Source organism: Homo sapiens, chromosome 3 (assembly GCF_000001405.40).
Source record: "Homo sapiens chromosome 3, GRCh38.p14 Primary Assembly".
NCBI lineage: Eukaryota > Metazoa > Chordata > Mammalia > Primates > Hominidae > Homo > Homo sapiens.
The window spans coordinates 126,626,579-126,650,194 of NC_000003.12; the positions used below are offsets into that span (position 1 = coordinate 126,626,579).

General features: G+C 38.2%; 1 protein-coding gene across 2 annotated transcripts in view; it reads right to left on the reverse strand.

Moving 5' to 3' along the window:
• TXNRD3 (thioredoxin reductase 3) overlaps positions 1-23,616 on the reverse strand; it is a 48,075-nt gene that overhangs the window by 19,529 nt on the left and 4,930 nt on the right. For both annotated transcript variants that reach the window (NM_001173513.3, NM_052883.3), the window contains exons 2-10: positions 20,658-20,718; positions 19,533-19,642; positions 17,719-17,823; positions 17,403-17,475; positions 15,454-15,573; positions 7,331-7,473; positions 5,186-5,301; positions 4,134-4,359; positions 2,801-2,893 (exon numbers count right to left, since the gene is read on the reverse strand). In NM_001173513.3, the coding sequence (NP_001166984.1) occupies positions 2,801-2,893; positions 4,134-4,359; positions 5,186-5,301; positions 7,331-7,473; positions 15,454-15,573; positions 17,403-17,475; positions 17,719-17,823; positions 19,533-19,642; positions 20,658-20,718 (1,047 nt within the window). The remainder of the gene's footprint in view (positions 1-2,800; positions 2,894-4,133; positions 4,360-5,185; positions 5,302-7,330; positions 7,474-15,453; positions 15,574-17,402; positions 17,476-17,718; positions 17,824-19,532; positions 19,643-20,657; positions 20,719-23,616) is intronic.

Here is a 23,616-nt window from a genome sequence, read left to right on the forward strand (position 1 = left end):
GTTATAAGATACCTCTACACATTCACTAGAATGCCTAGAATGAGAAAGCCAGATGCCCCTAAAAGTCCTAAGGGTCTGGAACAACTAGGCCTTCACATATAGCTGATGGAAATACAAAATGGCATAATCATTGGGAAACTGTTTGGTAGTTTCTTAAAAAGTAAAAACCATCCCATGATCAAGCAATTTCACTCCTAGGTATTTGTCAAAGAGAAATTAAAATATATGTTGGCTGGGAGCAGTGGCTGATGCCTATAATCCCAGCATGTTGAGAGGCCAAGACAGGAGGCTTGCTTAAGGCTAGGAGTTCAAGATCAGCCTGGACAACACAGTGAGACCCCAACCGTAAAAAAAAAAAAATTAGCCAGGCATGGTGGCATGTGCCTGTGGTCCTAGCAACTAGGGAAGCTGGGTTGGGAGGATCATTTGAGCCAAGGAGTTGGAGGCTGCAGTGAGCCTTGATCTCACCACTGCACTCCAGCCTGGGTGACAGAGTGAAACCATCTCTCTCTATATATCTCTCCATAAAAAGCTTTCCACAAAGAATCTTCACAGCAGTTTTAATCACAATAGTCCAAACTGCAAAGAGGCTAGGTATCTACCCACAGGAAAATGAATAAACTGCTACATTAATAAAATCTATACGATAAAAAGAACTACTGATGCACACAACATGGATGAGTCCTAAAAACATCAATCTGAATAAAAGAAGTCAGATACAAGGAATACATACTGTACAATTCCACTTATATGAGATTTAGAGGCAAACCAAACAAAATAAGTCTGTAGTGACAGAATCAGAATAGTGGTTGCTTGGGGGTCGATGACTGGGAAAAAGCACAGAGCGCTTTCTGGACTCACAGAAATGTTCTGTTACCTAAAGGAGTGTGGATTACATGAACGTGGACATCTGTCAAAACTGACTGAACTGTACACCTAGGATCTGTGGATTTCACTACATGTATATTATACCTCATTACAAAAATAATTTACAGTTAGATATTATGGACAACTTCATACCAATACATTTGAAAACTCAGATGAAATGGACTAATTCCTGGAAAAAAATATAACTAATCAAAAGTAAATCAAGGAAAAAATAAAAAGTCTTAAAAGTCCTTTGACTATTAAAGAAATTAATCAGTGGTCAAATATATCTCCATAGAAAATTATAGGTATAGACAGTTGCATCAGTAAATTCTATGAAACATACAAGGAACCAATTCTAATGTTACATGAACTTTGCCAGAAAACAGGAAATGAGGAAACATACTCCAAAATTCTTTCATGAGCAGGAATACCTTGATACTCAAACCTAAAATTAAAATGTTCAATATGTAAAAGGAAAATTACAAGCCAATATGATTCATAAATATAAATGCATAAATTCTAAATAACGAAGTCCAACATTACCAAGTTGGGTTTATACAAAGGATACAAAGTTGGTTGAATATTAGAAAATCAATGCAATTCAACAAATTAACAGATTAAAGAAAAAATTCATCATCCACAGCTGCAAACGAAACACTGTTATAATTGAACATACATTCCTTCTTAAATATACAAAACAACATAAACAAAAAGACACTTAGGTAACAAAAAATAGAAAACGAGCTCCTTAACTTGATTAACAGCATATAACAAAACCCTACAGAAAACATTGCTTTTTAGTGAAACGTCTTTTCTTTTGATATTGTAAATAAGACAAGAGTGCCTGCTATTGCCATTTCTTGTCAGGACTGTACTGGAGGTCCTAACTAATGCATTTATACAAGAAAAAAAGAGAAAACCAGTAAAAAGGAAGAAACAAACTGTTATTATTCACAAATAAATAAATGTGTACACAGGAAATCTGAAACAATCTAAGGATAAATTTTTCAGTAAGAGTTTAGCAAGATTACTGAATACTAAATCAAAACACAAAAATGAGCAGCATTTGTATACACTAGAAACACTTAAAGATAGTGACATTTTCAAAAAAAATACCATTTGTGACTACATATAAATTACATAAGTATCTAGTAATAAATCTAACAGATATTCTTGATCTCTAAGGAGAAATGTATTAACTTTGCTGGGAATCATTAAAGAAGATCTAAATTAATGGATAGATATACCATGTTCATGGGTGGGAAGACTGAATATTGCAAAGAAGTCAAGTGTTTCCAAATTTTCCTATATATCCAATCCAATCCTAATCAAAATCTCAATAAGGTTGATTTTTGGATTTTGGTTTTGTTACATGTTTTTTTGCTTTGTTGATGTTCTTTCTCTACGCTGCATTTTTTTAACTGAAAAAATTTCTACATAAAAAGAGTATATAAAACATAAATGTATAGTTTCTGTCAAAACTATAAACTAATTACAAAAGAATTGTTGGCCTCCAAAGTATTCCATGGGTTATTTCACATTGTTTGGAGATTTTGTACTGTTTGTTTTTGAGAAAGAAAAATAGCTTTGTTGTTGTTTTTCATTATAAAATATATTCAATATTTATTGCAAAAATATTCAAATTAAGAAATGTATAAAATATCTAATTTTCCAAAAGTAAGCACACATCTGGATATATGTGCTTCCAAATTTTACATACAGTCGCATACACACATACTTTACCGTGGTATTCCTCATGCATTACTGAAAACTCAAATGTCAGTAGCCAAATTATCTTCTATGATAATGCTCTTACAAAGAATAAAAAAAGTAAAAAAATGTTAATCCTGGTATAATTTTCCCATAAGTTTCATTTCTGTTAATTTAGGAGTGTGTTCAATAACTTAGTAATGATAAAATAAAAACTCACTGTGTTATAGACTCCTTCAATTGTTTCTGTTCCTTCAGTGGATTTAGCCAACACTTTCAGCTTTCCAGGTGAACCTTTCTCCAACTGTTGAACCTAGTAAGAATGAAGAGTGTAATGATGTTATCTAAATATGATAAAAAAGAAATACACGAAAGGGTCTACACCGGTATGTTCGTGTACATTTGTGTGTTTGGTGGTGGTACATATAATAGGTGTTAGTATAAGGTTTCTGGATAAGGCAGAAATAGAGAAAAGTGGACTGTCACAGATATATTTTGGAGGTAGAAATGAATTAATGAATTAGTTGAGATTGGAGGGAGCATAAAAAGATAAATTAAGGGGTATTCCTAGATACTGGCTTAATATACTGTGTTAAGTACCATTTACTGAGTACTGAGATGGGCCAGAAAGATTAGCAGGAGAATATTTAGGTAAAAAATCTAGTTTCATTTTTGTCTTGTTAAGTTTGAAATGCTTATGAGGAATTCAAGTGGCAATTTCTAGTAGGCAGTAGTATAAATGAGTATGGAATTCAGGAGAGACTCTTAAATAGGAGATATAAATCTGAGAATCATTAGCATTTAGATAATGTTTAAAACTATGGGCCTAGAGAAGATCATCCAGGTAATGCAAGTGCACAGAAGTGAAGAGGGACCCAGAGGAAAACAAATGGGTGCTGGAGTCTGTAGGTTGAGTAGCTGTAGATGGGAAAACTATAGACTGTGGGGCCACAGAAGCCAGAAAGGAAGGTGCTTCAAATGAATGGCCAGTTTCAGCGCATGCTGCCAAGAGGCCCAGTAAGATAAGGACAGAGACATGACCACTGGATTTGATGACAGGAAGTTTGCTAAAAGCCTGACAATCAGCTTCAAAGAAGTGAAGGAGATGGAAGCAGCTGACAGTCAGCTAAGCGTGAAATGGAGTCAAGAAATTAGAAGCAGCATGCAGAGTTGTTCTTTGTTTTTTTGTAAAGGAGAAAGAAAAATAGGCACCCAGTCAGAAAGGCAGTGAGGGTAAAAGAAGGCTTAATTGTTCAAGATGAGAGACAGTGATAAGAATAAGGAAAAAGAAAACTACTAACTGAAGATGGAACATCCTTGAAAAGGTGAAACAAAGTGGGAGATGAGGGGACTCAGCCTCTGAGAAGAGCAAGGACACCTCCTATATCAGAAGAGGGGACGAGGGGGAAAATGGGGTTGGCTCTGTAGACTTGGGAGTGGAAACACTGTTTTAACATTATTTGAATACAGACTAATTTATGTAATGAAATGAAGTAAGGTGAGATAAAGTGAAAAGTTAGAGAAAAAAAATTGCAAATGCCATGCAGCCTTACCATCACAGGTATGAATTTCCGTAGGAACTTCACACCATGCTGCTCCATGTAGGAACCCACTTTTTCTGCCATTTCTTGGTCGAAGCCACGGAGAAGGATTGAGCGTACCATAACTGTGACATCTAGGCCAAAGCCAGCCAGAAACCCTGCACACTCCAGGGCAACATAAGAGGCACCCACCACTAATGTTTTGCCAGGGCAATAAGGCAGAGAAAAAAGGTCATCACTGAAAAATAAAAATTAAAAAAAGAATACCTAGGCAGCAAGAATGAAATGAGTTATTCATGTTTCAGTGTATAATGGTCTTGTGATGACTGAATTATAATTTAGTGCTTGAATGAAGCAACAGCCTTTTGAAATTTGTAATTGAGTCTGCTGTGGAGAGAATGTGGAACAAGAAGTATACCTCAGATTTTTCTAAATCAGACCACAAGCAAGATTTTTTAAAAAATAAAATAGTATAGAAAATATCAGACTACATTACATGTGATAAAAAAAAAAACCTGTTTGTTTTGGAGATGTATGTACGTATGTGCTATGTGAAGAGGTGTGTGTTTGTTTACCTGAACAAAAAACTGCAACAAAAAATGTATTTCTTAATGTGAGTCAGCTCAAAAAAGTTTGCAAGTCATTACACACATGTCCTGTTTGACCACTAAGGAATATTCCCATTAAATCTCAGTGTTAAGAAAAGTGGTGCTGCTCCTCCCCAGCTGGCTCATTTTTATCATAAGGACACTAACCCCTAGAGCTAACTGTATTTACTTCTTTGTTTTGGCCTGTAAGAAGTTTAGAACAAAACTCCCAGGCTACTTCTAGGAATCACCGAGACACACACGGCATATTTTTGTACATAAATTTTGCCACTGGCCTTATTTACCTGACCTTATATTCTCTGTTTCATTACTTTTAACTATTTAGCTTCTTGCATTGTATATATTTTCATTTGTTAATTCAAATCTTTTGTGGAATAAGACAGGAAGTAAACTGGAAACATGTCAATATAATTCAATTTATTAACATTAAAGTTAAAATAGTCTATTTAACCTTACCTAGTAATACAGTATTCTTTATCTCCTTGGATTCCTAAATACCGTGGCCTTTCACCCGTTGCTATGACAAACTGTGCAGCAGTATAATAAGTCTCCTGTCCTTTTTTATTGGTTGCCTTGAAAAAAGAGAAGTAAACCTCACTTAGCAAACACTACAGAGTACCAGACACCCTGGACAAAATAGTTACTACCCTCATGGAGCTTCTCATTCAACAGCAACAGCAGACATGTGAAAAAGTAATAATGCAATGTGATAAGCACAAGCACAGAAAACAGAAGTCTTTATGAAATATTAATCAAAGCCCCATGGTGAGGGTAGGGTAGTGGACTAGAAAGCCAATCAAGGATGTATTAAAGAAGGAGTAGAGATTTTCAAGTGGAGATAAGAAAAATGAAATGATGGGAGAGGAACGGAGACCTGGAAGACAGAACAATGCGCACAAAAGCACATGAGCCCAGGAGGAGTTGGTGTTTGAAGACTGGAGAGCAGGGTTGTGTCAGAAGTCACATGAAACAGACTAGAGCCAAGTGCGAAGGCCCTTATGTCATCCTAACAACTTAGGCTATGGGGAACCAACAAAGGTTGCTCACAATTTTTAATTATACAAATAATTCAAAAATACATTTTCATTTTAAAAAAATTCAAATACTTTGGGAGGCCGAGGAAGGCAGATCACAAGGTCAGGAGTTCGAGACCAGCCTGGCCAACATGGTGAAACCCCATCTCTACTTAAAAAAACACAAAAATTAGCTGGGCATGGTGGTATATGCCTGCAATCCCAGCTACTTGGGAGGCTGAGGTGGGAGAATTGCTTGAACCCGGGAGCTGGAGGTTGCAGTGAATCAAGATCACGCCACTGCACTCCATCCTGGGTAACAGAGCAAGACTCTGTCTCAAAAAAAAAAAAAAAAGAAAGAAGCAACAACAAAAAAGAAACAACAAAAAAAGAAAAAAACCATTCACATGCTAATATTAATGAAGGTGTTTAAACAAGTGGGTTGGCATCATGAGTGGGATGGAGAACAGAGCCTGGAGAAAGAGCCTTGCTTAGAAGGGCTCTGAAACAGACAAGCAAGTACAGGCTCTGGGGTGAAACGGAGACTCTGGAGTTTCTCGCCTGCAGACTGGGAATGTGCTAGCATCACTAAACAAGGAGCCACACAACAGGCAGGCTTGGTTGGGGCTTATTCAACCATGTGTGCCAGGCAATTTGAGAAACACAACATGTATTTCTGCTGTGTTTCATGTAAATAATATAATTCAAATTGGCCCATGTAAGGTTTTAAAGGGCTGACTTTATCCTATTATATTTTTTTAGGGGTGAAATATATCTTTAACTGAATAAAGCACATCATCCAAAATATAGATTATATGGCAAATGATAACAACCGTTAAACCTAGGAATTGAATATTTGGATATTTACTGTGTTATACTCCCAATTTCCTGTTAAATTAAAAAAATTTAAATAAAATGCTGAAAATAAGCATTGAAGGGCAGCTTTAAATGGACCATACCTCACACATTTCTGAGATAACAGCTGAATACAAAATAATCTAAAATCTTGTGAAGATTATCTCACACTGTGCTAACAAAGTACAAAAATAAACTAGATGATGAGGACAATATCTGATTGTCATAATTCCAATTAAACTGTTTGTGTTCCTCAAAATGATCTCATTTTCCATATGTATTAATCTAATAATATATAAATATTACAAAGATAAACTTATAAAACACACTAATTCTAATGCTACTTTATCAATGCTTTTATGAATAATATAATATTGGAGTTCTAGTTAAGGTTTCATTTTTAGGAAGGATTCCACTAATAAAATTTTGATCTTTTTAGTCTTTTAAACTTTGAACTACTTAGTTTAAACATGTTCTCTTTTAAGACGGCAATAAAATCAAAGACAAATAATTTTTAATTAAGAGTTCTTTAAAACACAATTTCTTCAAGTTAACCAAACATGTAGAATTAGCAAACAATAGGGGAGAAACACACACACATGCATGGCCGTGTGTGTGTGTGTGCACGCACGCCTGTTACACCCCTTAACATGCAACATGAAATTTTAGTTGAAGGCAAGTATAAACAATTGTAAAGAAAGGAGATGAACAAGACAAGAAACTCAAGCACTACCTTTATTTTATGATGTTCAACAAATTCTCCATAGGAATTGACATAGGCCACAGCCTTTTCCCTCAGAGACAACCTGTAGCCCCAGTTTAGAGAGCTGATGTGGTTCTGAATCGCTTTTGTCATTGTCTCCCAGTTGTGCCTCACTAAGAAGAAATAATCAGGGTGAAGATGTTAGGTGAATTTTACCTTTAATGGTAAATTACATATAACCACACATGAGCCATACTAACAGTGCTTTAAAAATCAAGAAGTAGACAATCAGTAACTTAAATATTTTGTATGCCAGCCATAGTTTATACTCTTCCTAATTTATATTACAAAGAATGTGGAAAAATCAAGAGTTCTGAAAAGAAGAAAACTGGGGAAAAGTCCATGGAGGAGAAAATGGGGAAACTGGCCCTCATATGGCAACGCCTGCCACGACGTAAGGCAGGAGGCTCACCTCTCCTCGGTGGCACCTCCTAGAACCCTTTCCCACTCCATGGGACCTACTTTACTTGGCTCTTGGATGGGAAGAAGGCCTCAAGTCAGTGAGCTTGGTACACTCACCTCAACAGACTGGCATGGTTCCACTCTCATTTGGTTCACAGGGCAGTGGTTTCATGACAGTGAATATCTTACATGTCTTTACAACAAATATGGTTCACGCTCACCACTGCCAACCTTCAATATTACAGTGTTTACCCATTCCTTTGGAAGGTGGGGCAGGATTCGGGTGTTGGAATTCCACGTCATCCCTGTATCTTCTAGGTGGGATTTACTGCATAGTGTTCACCTTGTCTACAGATGCCAGATCCTGAAGGTCACCCTGTGCAGCTCTATGTTTATAAGATGCAGGGGTCAGCCCAGCCAGGGCTTTCATCATAACTGGATGAGATCCCCGAAGACAAACCAACAACCTGAGGTCAAGGGTAACATCTGGAAAATTACCCCATCTATCACTGTCAAGAAATGCCCCCCTACTCATCCAGGGACATGGGATGTTACCATGCAGGAAAGGGAGTCGACTGGAGGGGACAGTCAGTGCACAGAGAAGCTTAGCCAATGTCAACACACACGGCCCTTTCTATGATGCCAATGTACCAGTCTCCTAAAATTTTGCAACCCAGAATAGTCGTTCTTCTTACTACATTACCTCATCCTCCCACACCCTGTGATGTTGGTTATGATTCCCGAACCTGTCCCAGCAGTGACCACGTCACCACAATGGCACATATCCTCACATCCTAAAGATACTTCCTCCCCATCCCCTAGAAAAGCTTTTCTTCCAACCCTTAAACTATTTATCCTAAGAATCCTGTCAGCTCAACTAACAGTTCATGTGTCCTTTTGTTTCTTGTTCTTGTTGCAAAAGGCATCTTAGATTACAGGCTCTCAAATACAGCTGCACATCATAATGGGAATCATGTGGACCTATACAAATCCTAGGACCTGCCAAAAACTATGGAATCAGGAGTGGGACCCCAGAACCTGTACAGTTAAAAAGCTCCTCCTGGAGTTTTTGATATGCCAAATCAATGAACTGGCACTTTGAAACCACTTGTTCTACTGTTTTATTGATGTGTTTAGTCCTGCAACAGTATAATATTTTTAAATACTGAGAAAGGTCACCCTCTATACTTTCTCAAAGGTTGCTTAGCTATTTTCACATATGTATTTTTCAAAACGAATTTTAAAATAATCAGCCAATCTCCAAAAAGAAAAAAAAAGTCTCATGGAGATCTTACTGGACTTATATAAAATTTACAAACCATTTTTGAGATACTGTCTTCACAATATTGAGACATCCTCTATAAAAGCATAGTAAATTTTTTGTTATGCCTTTATATTCTTTCCTTATATATCCTGTACATTCCTGGTTGAATTTATTTCAAGTTATTTTCATTTTTTGTTACAATTTTCCATTATACATGTGAGTATGTGTATATATTTATATTACACACATCACACATACATATATATACACATACACATGTATATATACCTATATACACATAAACACACACACATATATACAAACACACACACAAACATATTTTAAGAGACAGAGTCTCATTCTGCTGCCCAGGCTGGAGTGCTATGGCATGGTCTTGGCTCACTGCAGCCTTGACCTCCCAGGTCCAAGTAATTCTCCTGCCTCAGCCTTTCGAGTAGCTGGAACTACAGGCATGAGCCACCATGCCCAGCTTATTTTTCTATTTTTTATTTTTGTAAGGAAGGGGTCTCGCTATGTTGCCCAGGCTAGTCTCAAGCTCCTCATCTCAAGCAATTTTCCTGCCACAGTCTCACAAAAGCAATCAACTTAACTCATTAGTTCTAATATTTCTTGTTTAATCTTTTATATATTCTATGTATGTTGTATATAATCATGTATAACATAACTCATACATTTAAAATATCTTTTTATTACTTCTTTTCCAATCTATGTACTTTTTCTATCGGCCCTTTGTGTGCACTGATCCAAAGCTCTAAACAGTGCAGATATCAGTAGTGAATGTCTGATTCTTGACTTAATTAAAATACCCCAAGTTCTTCTCCAATAAGTATTGCTTCTGACTCTTCTCCACCATGTGAAGAAGTATCTGTTTGTTTTCTAAAGCAGGAATGGGTATGAGATTTGTGTGAAATGCCCTCAGAGCTGAAATCCTGGCCATCATGCTGATTCTGTGCACTCCTGCTGTGCTATCCTGGGCTGACCCCCTCCCTGCACCCCACGGCGAGCCCTACCCACTCACATTTGTTCCTTCAAGACACTACCAGAGAGGATTTGCCAATGCTTGCCCTAGAGTTTGGGCACCTCTATGGGGTATAGTTTTCTATTTTTAGACTATCTTTCTGTATCATGGTTATTTCAGCCTCCAAAAAAAGGTGGCTTTTCTAAGTCTAGCTTTTCCAGAACAGTGTAAATCAAACTTGTCCAACCTGTGGCCCATGGGCTGCAGGAGGCCCAGGATGGCTTCAAATGTGGACCAACACAAATTTGTAAATTTTCTTAAAACATGAGGTTTCTTTTGTGATTTTTTTTTTTTTTTAGCTCATCAGCTATTGTTAGTGTATTTTATGTGTGGCCCAAGACAATTCTTCTTCCAATGTGGCCGAGGGAAGTCAAAAGATTGGACACCCCTGGTTTAAATTATACAGGAAGTGCCTGTTACTTGTAGATTTGGAAAAATGTACCTGTAACACTAATGGTACCTTTTGGAGACTGGGTTATTCTTACACAATATTTTTTCTTTGATTATTCAAGTCAATTCTGGTCATTTATATTTTCATAGAAGATATTCCTTTTCATCAAGATATTTAACATTATGACCACTAATTTTTATACTCAATTTGTGGCATCTCTCCCCATCTGTAGTTATACTTCTTTTCTAATGTCTGATGCTGCATATCTGTATGAGTTTCCCCCCTTATTTCCTTAATTGGATTTGCCAAACATTTGCCTATTTTATTTGTATTTTCAAATACAGTCTTGGTTTTGTTTATCAGTTCTATTTGGGAAGGGAGCTAACATTAATTTCTGAGTTTTTCTGTTTGCTTGTTTTTTGCTTATATTCAACCTATCTGATATTAACTACCACTGATATTATTTACATTTTCCTGCTATATCATTTTCCTGTTTAAAAATTTCTCATCTAAAATTTTAAATAGGAAATTCTTAATTTCCTACTTAAAATGTAAAATTTCCATATTTTCAACAATTATTTCTTTTGGTTTTAGGTATTTGTCTTAAACATAGCATATGGAAGAATTTTGCCATCTACTAACCCAAAAATCTGACTCATTCAGCTTTATCCTAGTAAGTAATATGACTACTCTTATGTAAGGTATCTTATTTTCTGTTGCTATTTTTGTTTGTTTTAACTTGTAGTTTCATGTTGCTTCCCTTTCTATTTTTTCTTTACTACCTTCTCTTTGTATATTTTCCCCTTTCTTTTTAAACTTTCACTTGAAAGCTCATTCAGTTTCTAATCTGGAAATTATCTATACATTATAAACTTATTTTAACCTATATTTCTCTCTCTTTTTTTTTTTTTTTTTTTTTTTTTTTTTTTGAGATGGAGTCTCACTGTCGCCCAGGCTGGAGAGCAGTGGCATGATCTCGGCTCACTGCAACCTCCGCCTCCTGGGTTCAAGCGATTCTCTTGCCTCAACCTCCCGAGTAGCTGGGACTACAGGCGCATGCCACCATGCCTGGCTAATTTTTTGTATTTTTAGTAGAGACAGGGTTTCATTGTGTTAGCCAGAATGGTCTTGATCTCCTGACCTCGTGATCCGCCCGCCTCGGTCTCCCAAAGGACTGGGATTACAGGCGTGAGCCACCACGTCCAGCCTAGCCTATATGTCTTTATCAATATCAAGAATGCAAGTATCTAGAACATTCTCCCAGAACATGATTTTGGCATGCTTTGACTTCCTCTCTTTTGCTGCTCAGATTCTGATGACTTCTCTTGGCCCTTTATTGAGTCTATACCTAAATACACCATGTGTTGGCTAGCTAAGTATTTCTTAGTCAGCACCCCAAAGACTTAGAAAGCATTTTAGCCGGGCACGGTGGCTCATGTCTGCAATCCCAGCACTTTGGGAGGCCAAGGTGGGTGGATCACCTGAGGTTGGAAGTTCAAGACCAGGCTGGCCAACATGGTGAAACCCCGTCTCCACTAAAAATATAAACATCAGCCAGGCGTGGTGGTGTGCACCTATAATCCAAGCTACTCGGGAGGCTGAGGCAGGAGAATCGCTTGAACACGGGAGATGGAGGAACGCAGTGAGCTGAGACCGCACCACTGCACTCCAGCTTGGGCAACATAGTGAAACTCCTCTGTCTCAAAAAAAAGAAAAAAGAAAGTATTTTGTATAGGGGGAACTTTGAGGAAGCTAATTATAAGATTTTACCCATTCAAGGAAATTAGAAAGTATTTAGAAATATTCAGCACTTAGAACAGAATTAACGTCATTTGACCCCATGGGGGCAGGGAGTGCAGCAAAGCAATGTGTGCAGACATCCTGCTATCTCTGAGAATGTAAGACAATGGAGAACAGACAGAAGTAACACACAGAAAGGTCCCCAGCTGGCACAGACCACACAGGTCTGATATCATCCACACAAGCCACCTCTGCCTGCTGTGTCTCCAACACAGAGTGAGTGCTGTGGTTCACCCTTTACAGCCTCTTCCCTACCACTGAGGTTTTAGGGGCTTCTCCCCTCTTGGACTCAATTAGTTTTGAAACAGTGTAGATATTTATTTTAAAAAGAGATTCCATAAGTACCTGCCAAGTCAAAATGTGCATAATTCAAATCCTATTCCATTTAGCCTTTCTGCAGCATTTGATTCAGTTAGTGCTCTTTTTAGATTCCCTAAGGCCCCAATCATGCCCTTAAAAAAGCCAAACTCCTCCTGGCTTCTGTGATTCAACTCTCTTGGTTTTCCTCCTTTTCCTCACCCAGTTACTATAGGTATTAAAATATCTCAGTGTTCTGTCTCTGTTTTCTATGCTTTTCATTCTCCCCAGTCCCCCATGTGCTGTGCCTCTCACACCCAGCTCTCGCCCAGCTCTCTTTCAGGAACAAACCTTCCTCATACAGCAAACTCTACCAGGATGTTCCCAAGGCACCTGAAGTACAGTGTCCAAGTAAGATGAAGGGTTTAGGGAAAAGAAAGATTTTTTTCTTTTTCCGAGACAAGATCTCATTCTGTTGCACAGGCTGGAGTGCAGTGGCGCAATCAGAGCTCACTGCAGCCTTGACCTCCTTGGACTCAAGCTATCCTCTTACCTCAGCCTCCCGAGTAGCTAGGACTACAGGTGCATGCCACCATGCCTGCCTAATTTTTCTATTTTTTGTAGAGTAATTTTTCTATTTTTTGTAGAGACAGAGTCTCACTATGTTGCCCAGGCTGGTCTCAATCTCCTGGGCTTGAACAATCCTTCTACCTCAGCCTCCCAAAGTGCTGGGATTATAGGTGTGAGTCACTACGCCCAACCAGAAGAAGGATTCTTGAAAGCAAATAAAACTACCCCAAAATTACACTGCCAAGTCAGGAGGCCTCATTTTATCTACAACCAGCTGATCCTAGCTTGACCTAAGGCTCTCCATTGAGTTGACTGGAGAAATGTGTCCAGCATCAACCCATTATCCTGAACTCAACCCCACCCTGCCAATAAACCAAAGCTGCTTGTGTTTTCTTTTTTTTTTTTTTTTTTTTTTTTTTTTGAGACGGAGTCTCGCTCTGTCGCCCAGGCTGGAGTGCAGTGGCGCGATCTCGGCTCACTGCAAGCTCCGCCTCCCGGGTTCACGCCATTCTCCTGCCTCAGCCTCCCGAGTAGCTGGGACTACAGGCGCCCGCCACTACGCCCGGCTAATTTTTTGTATTTTTTTTAGTAGAGACGGGGTTTCACCGTGTTAGCCAGGATGGTCTCGATCTCCTGACCTCGTGATCCGCCCGCCTCGGCCTCCCAAAGTGCTGGGATTACAGGCGTGAGCCACCGCGCCCGGCCGCTGCTTGTGTTTTCTATCTCAGTGAACAGTATTCCATTTCCCCCCCAGTCTCTCTTCCTGTATTCTTTCCTCTCCCTCAATCCATATCCTACCATGACCTGGATGCCCTGTCATAATCACCTGGCTACGGTCAGAACCAGGATCATCTATGATGCTTTAAATGTGCACGTACACTGCCCACATCTACCAGATCAAAATCTCTGCACAAAGAGACAAGTGGTTTGTAATTTTTCTTAAAGTCCACAAGACATTCTGATACACAGCCAAGTGTCTACATCCAACTGGCCACCATATCTGGTCAATTTTATGCCTTCAACTACCCTTCAACCAGACTTCAGTCTTTGCTCAACCCTCTGTCATTTCTTGCCCCCACTTCCCTATCCTTTCCTCTCTTTTCTAAGTTCCTCAGTGCCATAAAAGGTGTGAAAGTTGTCAGAATCAAAATGGAGTAACTTGTGTAAAAAAAAAAAAAAAACTCTCCGACAAACAGAGGTGGGGAAGGCCATGAAGAAAGGGTTTCCTGGTTTCTATGCCTGATAACAAAATCATCACAAAGACTACAAAAACCACAAACTTGCCCAAAGGCCATCACAACCTAACATAAAAGTACATCTTCCAGGACATCTGCCCAGCAACTGCCTGTCCAGCCTCAGACTTGAGTCACCCTAGTTATTGATCCTTGTAGCCAAGGATAATCATTTCGAAACAATCATATCCTCCTCCTCATTTTTGCGTAGGAAACAATAGTTTACTATGGCACACATATTCCAGCTGCAGTGCCCACTTCCCAAATAAGCATCATTTTCTTTAGGGAGTTTTTTTCTGCTTGCTACTTAGCTTGACAGTAGGACTCAGAATCACAGCCGTGGCTCATGCTCCTCTCCTGCTTCAACTCCCTTCATCTACTCTTCACTCCAGCCACTATTAACCCCCCAAAACACCATGTTTCCTCACATCTCCATAGTGTTCATCAAGCTGCTTCCAGTCTTAAAGGTCCTACTCCTCTGTGACCTTCAAGATGCAGCTCAAGGGTCACCTTGTCTGAAGAGCTTTCCCTGACACTCCCCCACCACCCTCAAGGCTACATGGAGCCAATACTCAAAGCAGCATGGCTAATTTGAGTGCACTGAATGGATCTCCTTGTCTCTCTCCCACGGACTACATGCTGCTTACAGGTAGCTCTGTCTTCCTCACATCTGTATCCCCAGAGCTTAGCCAATACATGTTTACTAGATGAATTTCTTTTCCACTTTTCATTAACCAAAGATATATATAACCACTGAGAAAAAATGTTATAATAACAGATATAATTCAAACAATAACCTTTGCTATTCTATTTTTCTTATACTTGAAAGAAGTCTGAAAATAGCGATTACTTAATCTTTTACATTCTGCTAAGGGTGTGGAATTGCTGCAGCTGAGACAATTCCCTCTCTAGGTGGTGAGGCCCACAAGAGCGGGGGGCCCTTTTGCATCCTCTGTGCCTGGCTGACACAGTAGCTTCCTAATGAATGTTCATTAAATGAATTACGAACTCAACTATAAAAATATGAATACCAAGTCTTTATCTAAAAAACTCATTTTTTCTTTTCTCTCAATCTATACTTTATGAACCATTACTCACCTTGTTGATTATATTCCCAGCCAAATTTCCTTGAGTCACATAATGCCTGCCCCAAAAGGGCAGCCTGATGCATCAATTTCTTAGGAATACAACCTACATTTACACAAGTGCCACCAAGACCTGAGGAAGAAAATAAGTTTTAATGCTTCTTTGTGTGTCTAGTTTCACACATCTGCAATCATATTATATTAAAACATGTGGAAATGACAAGCTCAATGGTGGGGGGGATGACACCCCACCCCAAAATAAGACACAAGGGATTAACCCAAATTTTCCAACTACGGGTTCACAGAAGAGACCCAAAGATGAGTAAAAATACAGATGTGCATGTGAGAAGTTTTCTGGGCACAGCATCCAAAACTTTCACTTCAGTCTGATCCACAGAGATCAGAATGATCTAAGATTAATTAGATATGTACTACACCAAGGGTGAGAATCTCAGCTCCCAGCCCTGTACTCTCCATAACTCTGACTCCTCGGAGCCACGTTGTCAACTGCAAGCTGCCTGGTCACATTTACTCTGAGTCCTGAACAACACAAAATGGATTACGCAAAACGGAGTGCCCCTTTGCAGGGCAGGTCTCAGATTCTCTCTGACTGCAGGTGTTCTGGTATCCCAGATAAGTAGGATTATTTCTGGACAAGAAAGGGAGAAAGGGAGGAGAAAAAGAGGAAAGAGGCCAGGGTGAGGGACAGAAAACAAGTGTTCACACACCACAAGAACATTATGAGAAAAATCGAAGTAGATTAGCTTTTGTACATAAAATTCTAGGCTATAACTTTCTGAGTAAGTTTGAATTTTAAAAATTGATTTTTACACTTTATGTGAAAAAAATCTGCCAGAAAATTTTTTCTAGCAGAAAAGAGAAGACACACTTGAGTTGGGTAACTGAAGGATTAACAGAGAAATTATCACAAAGGTGTAAGCAGGAAGAGCAAAAAGGGATAGAATAGTTCCCTAAACTAGTGACAGCAGTGTACCATTGGCAGCCCCATGTGAAGGGGCAAGGAGACTGAGTGCCACCACCCAGAGGGAGCCAGCCATCCAATGGAGGGGGTGGCCTTCCACAGGAAGATGCAGGGACCCAGCAGGGAAGGAGCCAGGGGAATAAAATCCCAACTCCACTCTTCCTCTGCCCTCTTCCCCTTACCCCAAAGTGGCCAAGCTGCCCCAGAAGCCAGAGGGCAAGGCTGCCAACAGATCAGTCTTATGGAGCGTACAGCAGGGCAGAGGCAGAGGGGGAATGCATTTAAAGAATAAATGGAAAACATCCAGCACAAAATCTATGTGCTCTTTTCACTGTGGAAAAACAACATGGAAAGGTGAGCACTCTAGTCTACAGTAGACAGCAGAGTCACAGGGCTGGTCATTGGTCTCCTTGTTAAGCTAAACTGTAATTATTACATACACTCACTCCATCAGCTATTGTGCAGCTAATATAGTCAATTATGAAACCGACACAGAAACAAAGAAAAGTGTTTCTGGCAAACTTACGTGACCACGACACAGTACATACACTGTGACCTCAACTATACACTCAAAAAAATACTACGGCAGAAGTGCTGAAATACTGTGGTCATGGAATTTTTTTTTCTTTTTGCAAAATCTTCCTTATTAATGTTTATATTATCTTTCCAACATCACTGCTTGTTAACTATATCCTCACTAAGACTCAGTTTCTTTTTTTTAATTTTTTTAAAATTTTTTTATTTTTTTGAATAGAGACAAGGTCTCACTATATTTCCGGGCTAGTCTGGAACTTCTGGGCCTCTCAAAGTGCTGGGATTTCAGGCATGAGCCTCTGGGCCAGGCCTAGACTCGCTTGTTTTCTTATCCAAGAAACAGGCGAGTTATACCTCTTGAGATTGTTGTGAGGATTAAATGAGATTACATAAAGCAAACAACATATGTAAAGAGCAGAGAGGAACAACAGAGAAAAACAACTTACCCCAGGATGTGCCCTGAGGTGACGGGACAACAAAGTCTAGCACCATAACTTTCTTTCCCAAAATGGCAGCTTCCTACAAACGAACAACAACAAAAATTACGTATAAAGATCTTGTCACTTTCCTGACACTCCCTCAATCTTTGTCTTCCGTAAAAGACTGTTTTTGTGTGACACACAATCTTTTACCTGAATTATACCAGCTATTACAACAAAAGCTTAAACTGTAACATTAGTTTGTTTTTTTTTAAGTAGCAGAAGAAATAGCTATGGCAGTCATCAGGAAAATTATCTACGAGTTTCATTTCTATATTCATACCTTCGCACATGAAAGGCCTCCAGAACCACCACCGATGATGATGAGATCATAATCATATGCCAAATCTTCCTGAAGGAGCTTCTGTAACAAACCACTCTGATATGCCTATGGTTTAATTACAGGAGAAAGAACACTGCAGAATTTAAAGTTTTACAGCTATTTATGTACACCCTATGTTCAACTGGTATGGATTTCTTTTATAAAAATCTTAGGAAAAATCTATAATTCATCTAAGTTGGAGTTGTAAATTTATCTGGATGCTATTTAAAAACAGGGTCCAACTAGTTAGAACTTATACCAAAGTACATATGTTTTTGTCCCTTCTTACACCTGACAGCTAGGAATGTGTCAAATAACCTAGAAGGTTGTGGCTCTGTACCTATGTAAGATGAGGTCATTTTCCTTGGTCTAATTATCAAAATATTATAGTCAAGTGCAGTGGAATAGCCAAGTATCATTTTTCATTAGCTCACTTGTGCTAGTCTTCATTTTGAAAACAATTCTTATGCATTATCAGCAAATTTTGTCATGGCTTCTCATAAATCGATCTAACTTTTGTAGTTACACAGGTGAGCTTCCTTTACAACACCAACATCTCCCATTTTCTTTCAGCAACAGTCATGATGCTGGCCCTGGGCCATATCCTCTTGCTCATTTGGCCCTCCTTGTGATCAGAAGTAGCTTAGATGATGTTAGAGGTTCGATGTGTGATTTAGTAACAGTTTTCTTTATGCCAAGTCAGTTGCTCACTCCCATTACCTTGGCTTTAGACAAATACCATGATCAAACTAGCCCTTCCTGTAACACACAACAGATGCTTCATAACTACGTGGACTCACCAAATGCCATGTGTCCCCATGAAGAATGGGTGCCCAAGAAGGTTTTAGGGACATTCTAAAAAGGGTCCCTATGGCCTCCTTACTTTTAGGTGCCCTTAGGGAAATCCACCTCCTCAGAATCTGCCATCCAAGAAATATCTTTCTGTCTTGAAATAATAGAATTGCTCTCTCTGCATCTACAGATTTATTCTTGGACATCATTTTCCAAGTTAGGATTGGCAAGACAAGCACTTCAGAAGGTGTTTACAGGACTTACCACTATGTGAACTAGGTTATAAATTCTAGGACTAATAAAGCAGATTGTTACTGCATAAGGATGCTGATCATAGATTAACACACAACATAGACAATCTTTTTTCTCCACAAAAATATAATTCTTAATTAAAGTCTCAAATACAACTATTTAATCAACCACTGATTACTCATATTGTATACATATATAAAGGATATGACAGAGTAGAATTTTAATAAAAGTAAATAACTAATTATAAAATAAGGATCTTATTTAATAAACAATTTTTATCTATCACTGCTTACCTAACAACTCCTGCTCATTTTTAGCACTCTAGGAATCAAAAAATCAAAAGCCATAGGCCTTTGGCAACCACCCCAAGGTTAGCAGTCTTAACAGGAATTCTAATTGTCCTAGACAAGAATGGCAGTGTTGACCTCTTTCTACTGGGCAAACATTAATGTTATCTCTCCCTACAAGGAGGAAAAGACCTGGGATGTCTCCAGGGTGGCCCACTGGTTTGTCCTGGTGCCCTCACACAAAAATCCTAGCTTCTGAAGTTCAGGCTGGCAGAAAAGCTAATTTCCCTTAAAGCAATCAGTATTATCTGATAATTATCCTATATGCTTCATTTTATAACTTCCAAAAGATGAGTGGACTCCTAAAAACCATTTTCTCCTCTTTTAAATACTTTTTTAAAATATGAACAAACAGCATTGAAGAACATATAATAGTATTATTACCTGGAAAGTTTGGTCACATCCACCTACATGCACTTTATTCACGAAAATATTGGGCACAGTTTTCTGATTAGTGATTTCTGACAGCACTTCTTGAACCCTGGCCCCATCATCTAAAGAAGAAAAAAACTATATATAAAAACACTGAAAAGAGTTTCAAATCTTTGTGAGTTAAACAAAGTGTTACAACACTCAAATGTTCACATGTACATACTCATAACAGGTCAGTGTGTTATATAACTTTATGAAATGATAACTCAAGAGGGGAAAACATCCTTGCTTTCAAAGAAAATCTTAAAAAATAAAGATCTACTGATTCCTTCAAAGATAAACCCTTCAAAATTAGATTTTGACATATTATTCAGTGACTATGCCAAGACAGATAAGAGCCCTCTTTAAAGAGCAAGAATCAAGATAAAATCGCTGTAACAATAACCCAGAAAATACTTCTTACAATTACATTTGAAAAATGTTTATGGTCATAGTCCAATATTTATCTTCCATCCCTAAAAATAAAACTGGTCCATCACTACTTAAGACTACCTTATTGGTAAACCCTTTAGAAAAGTCTCCAAGATTCAAGAGCATTTCATTCATTAAGGCAACTTTAAAGTGAGTCAGTGAGGTTCTATGAAGGCAGAAATCAAACTTGTTCTGTTCATCACCATGCCCTCACCCCTGAAAAACTCCTTATGTGTAAAGTGCTGAACTAATATTAGATGTATGAATGCCAAGAATTCAAAAGTATAAAGCTAAAAACTTAATGCACTCTCCCTGGTGGATGACACAGCCAGGAAATGGGAGCGGATCCTTTTCATTTGTTACAGCTTTATCTGTTCTGCTAGAGAGCTGGCAGATACATCTGAAATGCCTTAAGTACTTCAAAGGGAGCAGCTTATATATCTTCCTCCCACTCCCTTCCCTCAAATATGGAAAATGTATAAATAAAAAAACTACACCAATTTATCTGCCACATTAGGGTTCATTTTCTGCATGGCTGAATGTAGACAAAAATGCCTCATTTAACCCGAAGACAAGAGTAATCTGAATTGAACAAAGTAAATGGAAAGAAGTCAATCTCGCTGGCATTTATTATAAACAACACTATGTTGTAACTGGTCTACTTACCAACTTGATCAAGTTCCAAGACATTACATTCGACTCCCAAAGAAGAAAAGAGTTCTTTCACCTGTAAAAAAAATTTAGCTAAGTTTCACTCTCAGAAAAGATTCAACAGCTATGAAATATGAACATAGTAATGAGAGATGTCAACAATAAATGTTCTGGAGGAACAGGAGTTCTAGCCAACGTGTGGTTTTTGTTTTTGTTTTTGATTTTTTCCTTTCCTCTACACATCTTCCCAGAATAATCTCAGGCCATCCCTTGCCTTCTTTTTACTGTCTCTTATGACTTTCAAATCTACAACTTTGGCCCAAATCTCTTTTCTGAACTCAAATAGGCAGTATCTATTTTCCACCTGCGTGTCCCACAGGCATCTCACAGGCAACACACCCACAATGCTACTCCTCTCCTTCCACTCAGTAAGACCCCATCTCTACAAAAAATAAAAAAACAAATTAGCCAGGCATGGTGGCACATGCCTTGTAGTCCCAGGTACTCAGGAGGCTGAGGTGGGAGGATCGCTGAAGCCCAGAAGTTTGAAGCTGCAGTGAGCCATGATCACACCACTTCACAACAGCCTGGGTGACACAGCAAGAAGACCCTGTCCCCCTCCAAAAAAGTACTATTAGTCCTAGCCAGAGCAATACCACAAGAAAAGGAAATAAAAGGCATCCTAACTGGAAAATAAGTTAAATTATCTCTGTTCACAGACAACATGATCTCATGCGTAGAAAACCTAAAGATTTCACAGACACACACATACCAAAACTGTTGAAATAAAGAAATTCAGCAAAGTTGCATTGTACAAAATCAACACACAAAAATCAGTTGATTTTCTGTATACCAATAACGAACAATCCAAAATAGAAATTGAGAAAAAAAATTTCATTTATAATAGCAACAAGAAGAACTAAATACTTAGGAAGAAACTTAACCAAGAAAGCAAAAGACTTGGATGCTGAAAACCACAAATGTTGCTGAAAGGAATTAAATAAGATAGCAACAAATAACAATATCCCATGTTCATGGATTGGAAGATTTTATACTTGCAAATATGTCAGTAGTACCCAAAGCACTCTACAGATTTAATGCAATCCTTTTCAAAATCCCAATGATCTTTTTTTGCAGAAATAGAAAAATCCATCCTAAAATTCATATGGAATTTCAAAGGACCCTGAATAACCAGAACAATCTTGTAAAGAAGAACAACAAAACTTACTACAAAGATACAGTAATCAAAACAGTGCCGTACTGGCATAAAGACAGGCTTATGGACCAAGGAAGAGACCAGAAAGGACAGAAATAAAGCCTCACATATACAGGGAAATGATTTTTTACAAGGGTGCCAAGACCATTCAATGGGGAAAGGAGAGTCTTTTCAACAAATGATGCTGAGAAAACTGGCTGTCCACTAACAAAAGAATGAAACTGGACCCTTACCTAACGCCATGTATGGAAATTAACTCGAAATGGGTCAAAGACCCAAATGTCAGAGCTAAAACTACAAAACTCTTAGAAGAAAATATACGGCAAAAGTGTCACGACACTGGCTTTGACAATGATTTTATGGATATGATCTCAAAGGCACAAGCAACAAAAGAAACAACAGACAAATAGCACCTCACAAAAATTTGAAACTCTTGTTCATCAAAGGACAGTTATCTACTCAGGAGGCTGAGGCAGGAGGATCATGGAGTCCAGGAGTTTGGGGCTGTAGTGCATTTTGATCACACCTGTGAATAGCCACGGCACTCCAGCCTGGGCAACATAGCAAGATGCCATCTCTTAAAAAGAAAAGAGGACATTATCAACTGAGTAGAGAGGTGACCCAAGGAACTGAATAGGGTATTTGCAAATCACATATATGATAAGGGATTAATATCTGGATTATATAGAGAACTCCTAAAACTCAAGAACAAAAAAGTTAAAACCCCAACTTAAAAATGGGAAAGCACTTGAATATAGATTTCTTCAAATAAGAGATATAAATGGCCAATAATAAGCACGTGAAAAGTTGTTCATCATCACTAATCTTTAGTGAAACGTGAATCAAAACCACAATAATACTTCACATCCATTAGGATAAGCATTATTTTTAAAAACAAAGAAAATAACAAATGTTGGTGAGGATGCAGAGAAACTGAGACCCTTGTGCACTTTAGTGGGAATGTAAAATAGTGTTGCCACTATGGAAAACAGAATGACAGTTCCTCAAAAAATTACAAATAGAAATATCACATAATCAAGCAACTCCATTTCTAGGTATGTACCAAAAGGAACTGAAAGCAGAGACTCAAATAAATATTTGTACACCCATGTTCATAGAAACATTATTCATAATAGCCAAAAGGTGGAAGCAATGCAAGTGACCATTGACAGATAAATGGATAAACAAAATGTGTTATATACATACAGTGGAATATGATTCAGTCTTTAAAAGAAAGGAAATTCTCACACATGCTACAACATGGTTGAATGTTTAGGACATTACTCTAAGTGAAATAAACTGGACACAAAAAGACAAATACTGTATGACTCAACTCATATGAGGTACCTAAAGCAGTCATATTCATAGAGACAGAAAGTCAGACGGTGGTCATGAGGGGCTGGGAGAAGGAGGAAAAGGGAGTAAGTGTTTAATGGGTATAGAATTTCAGTTTGGGAAGATGAAAAAGTTCTGTGGATGGATGCTGCTGATGGTTGCACAACAATGTACATGTACGTAGTGCCACTGAACTCTACACTAAAAAATAGTTAAAAATGGTAAGTTTTATGTTATGTGAATTTTATCACAATATTTTTAAAAAAGCAAAAGCAAACCAATGGAAATATAAATTTGTAATTCACAAATGTATGAATTCAGGACTGGGGAAACATGGCTTAAAATTAATGTGGGGAAAGTACTTCTAAAAGTCAGGGCATTTTATTCACTGTATAGTTTGCGTTATTATCTTACATCTGTCCT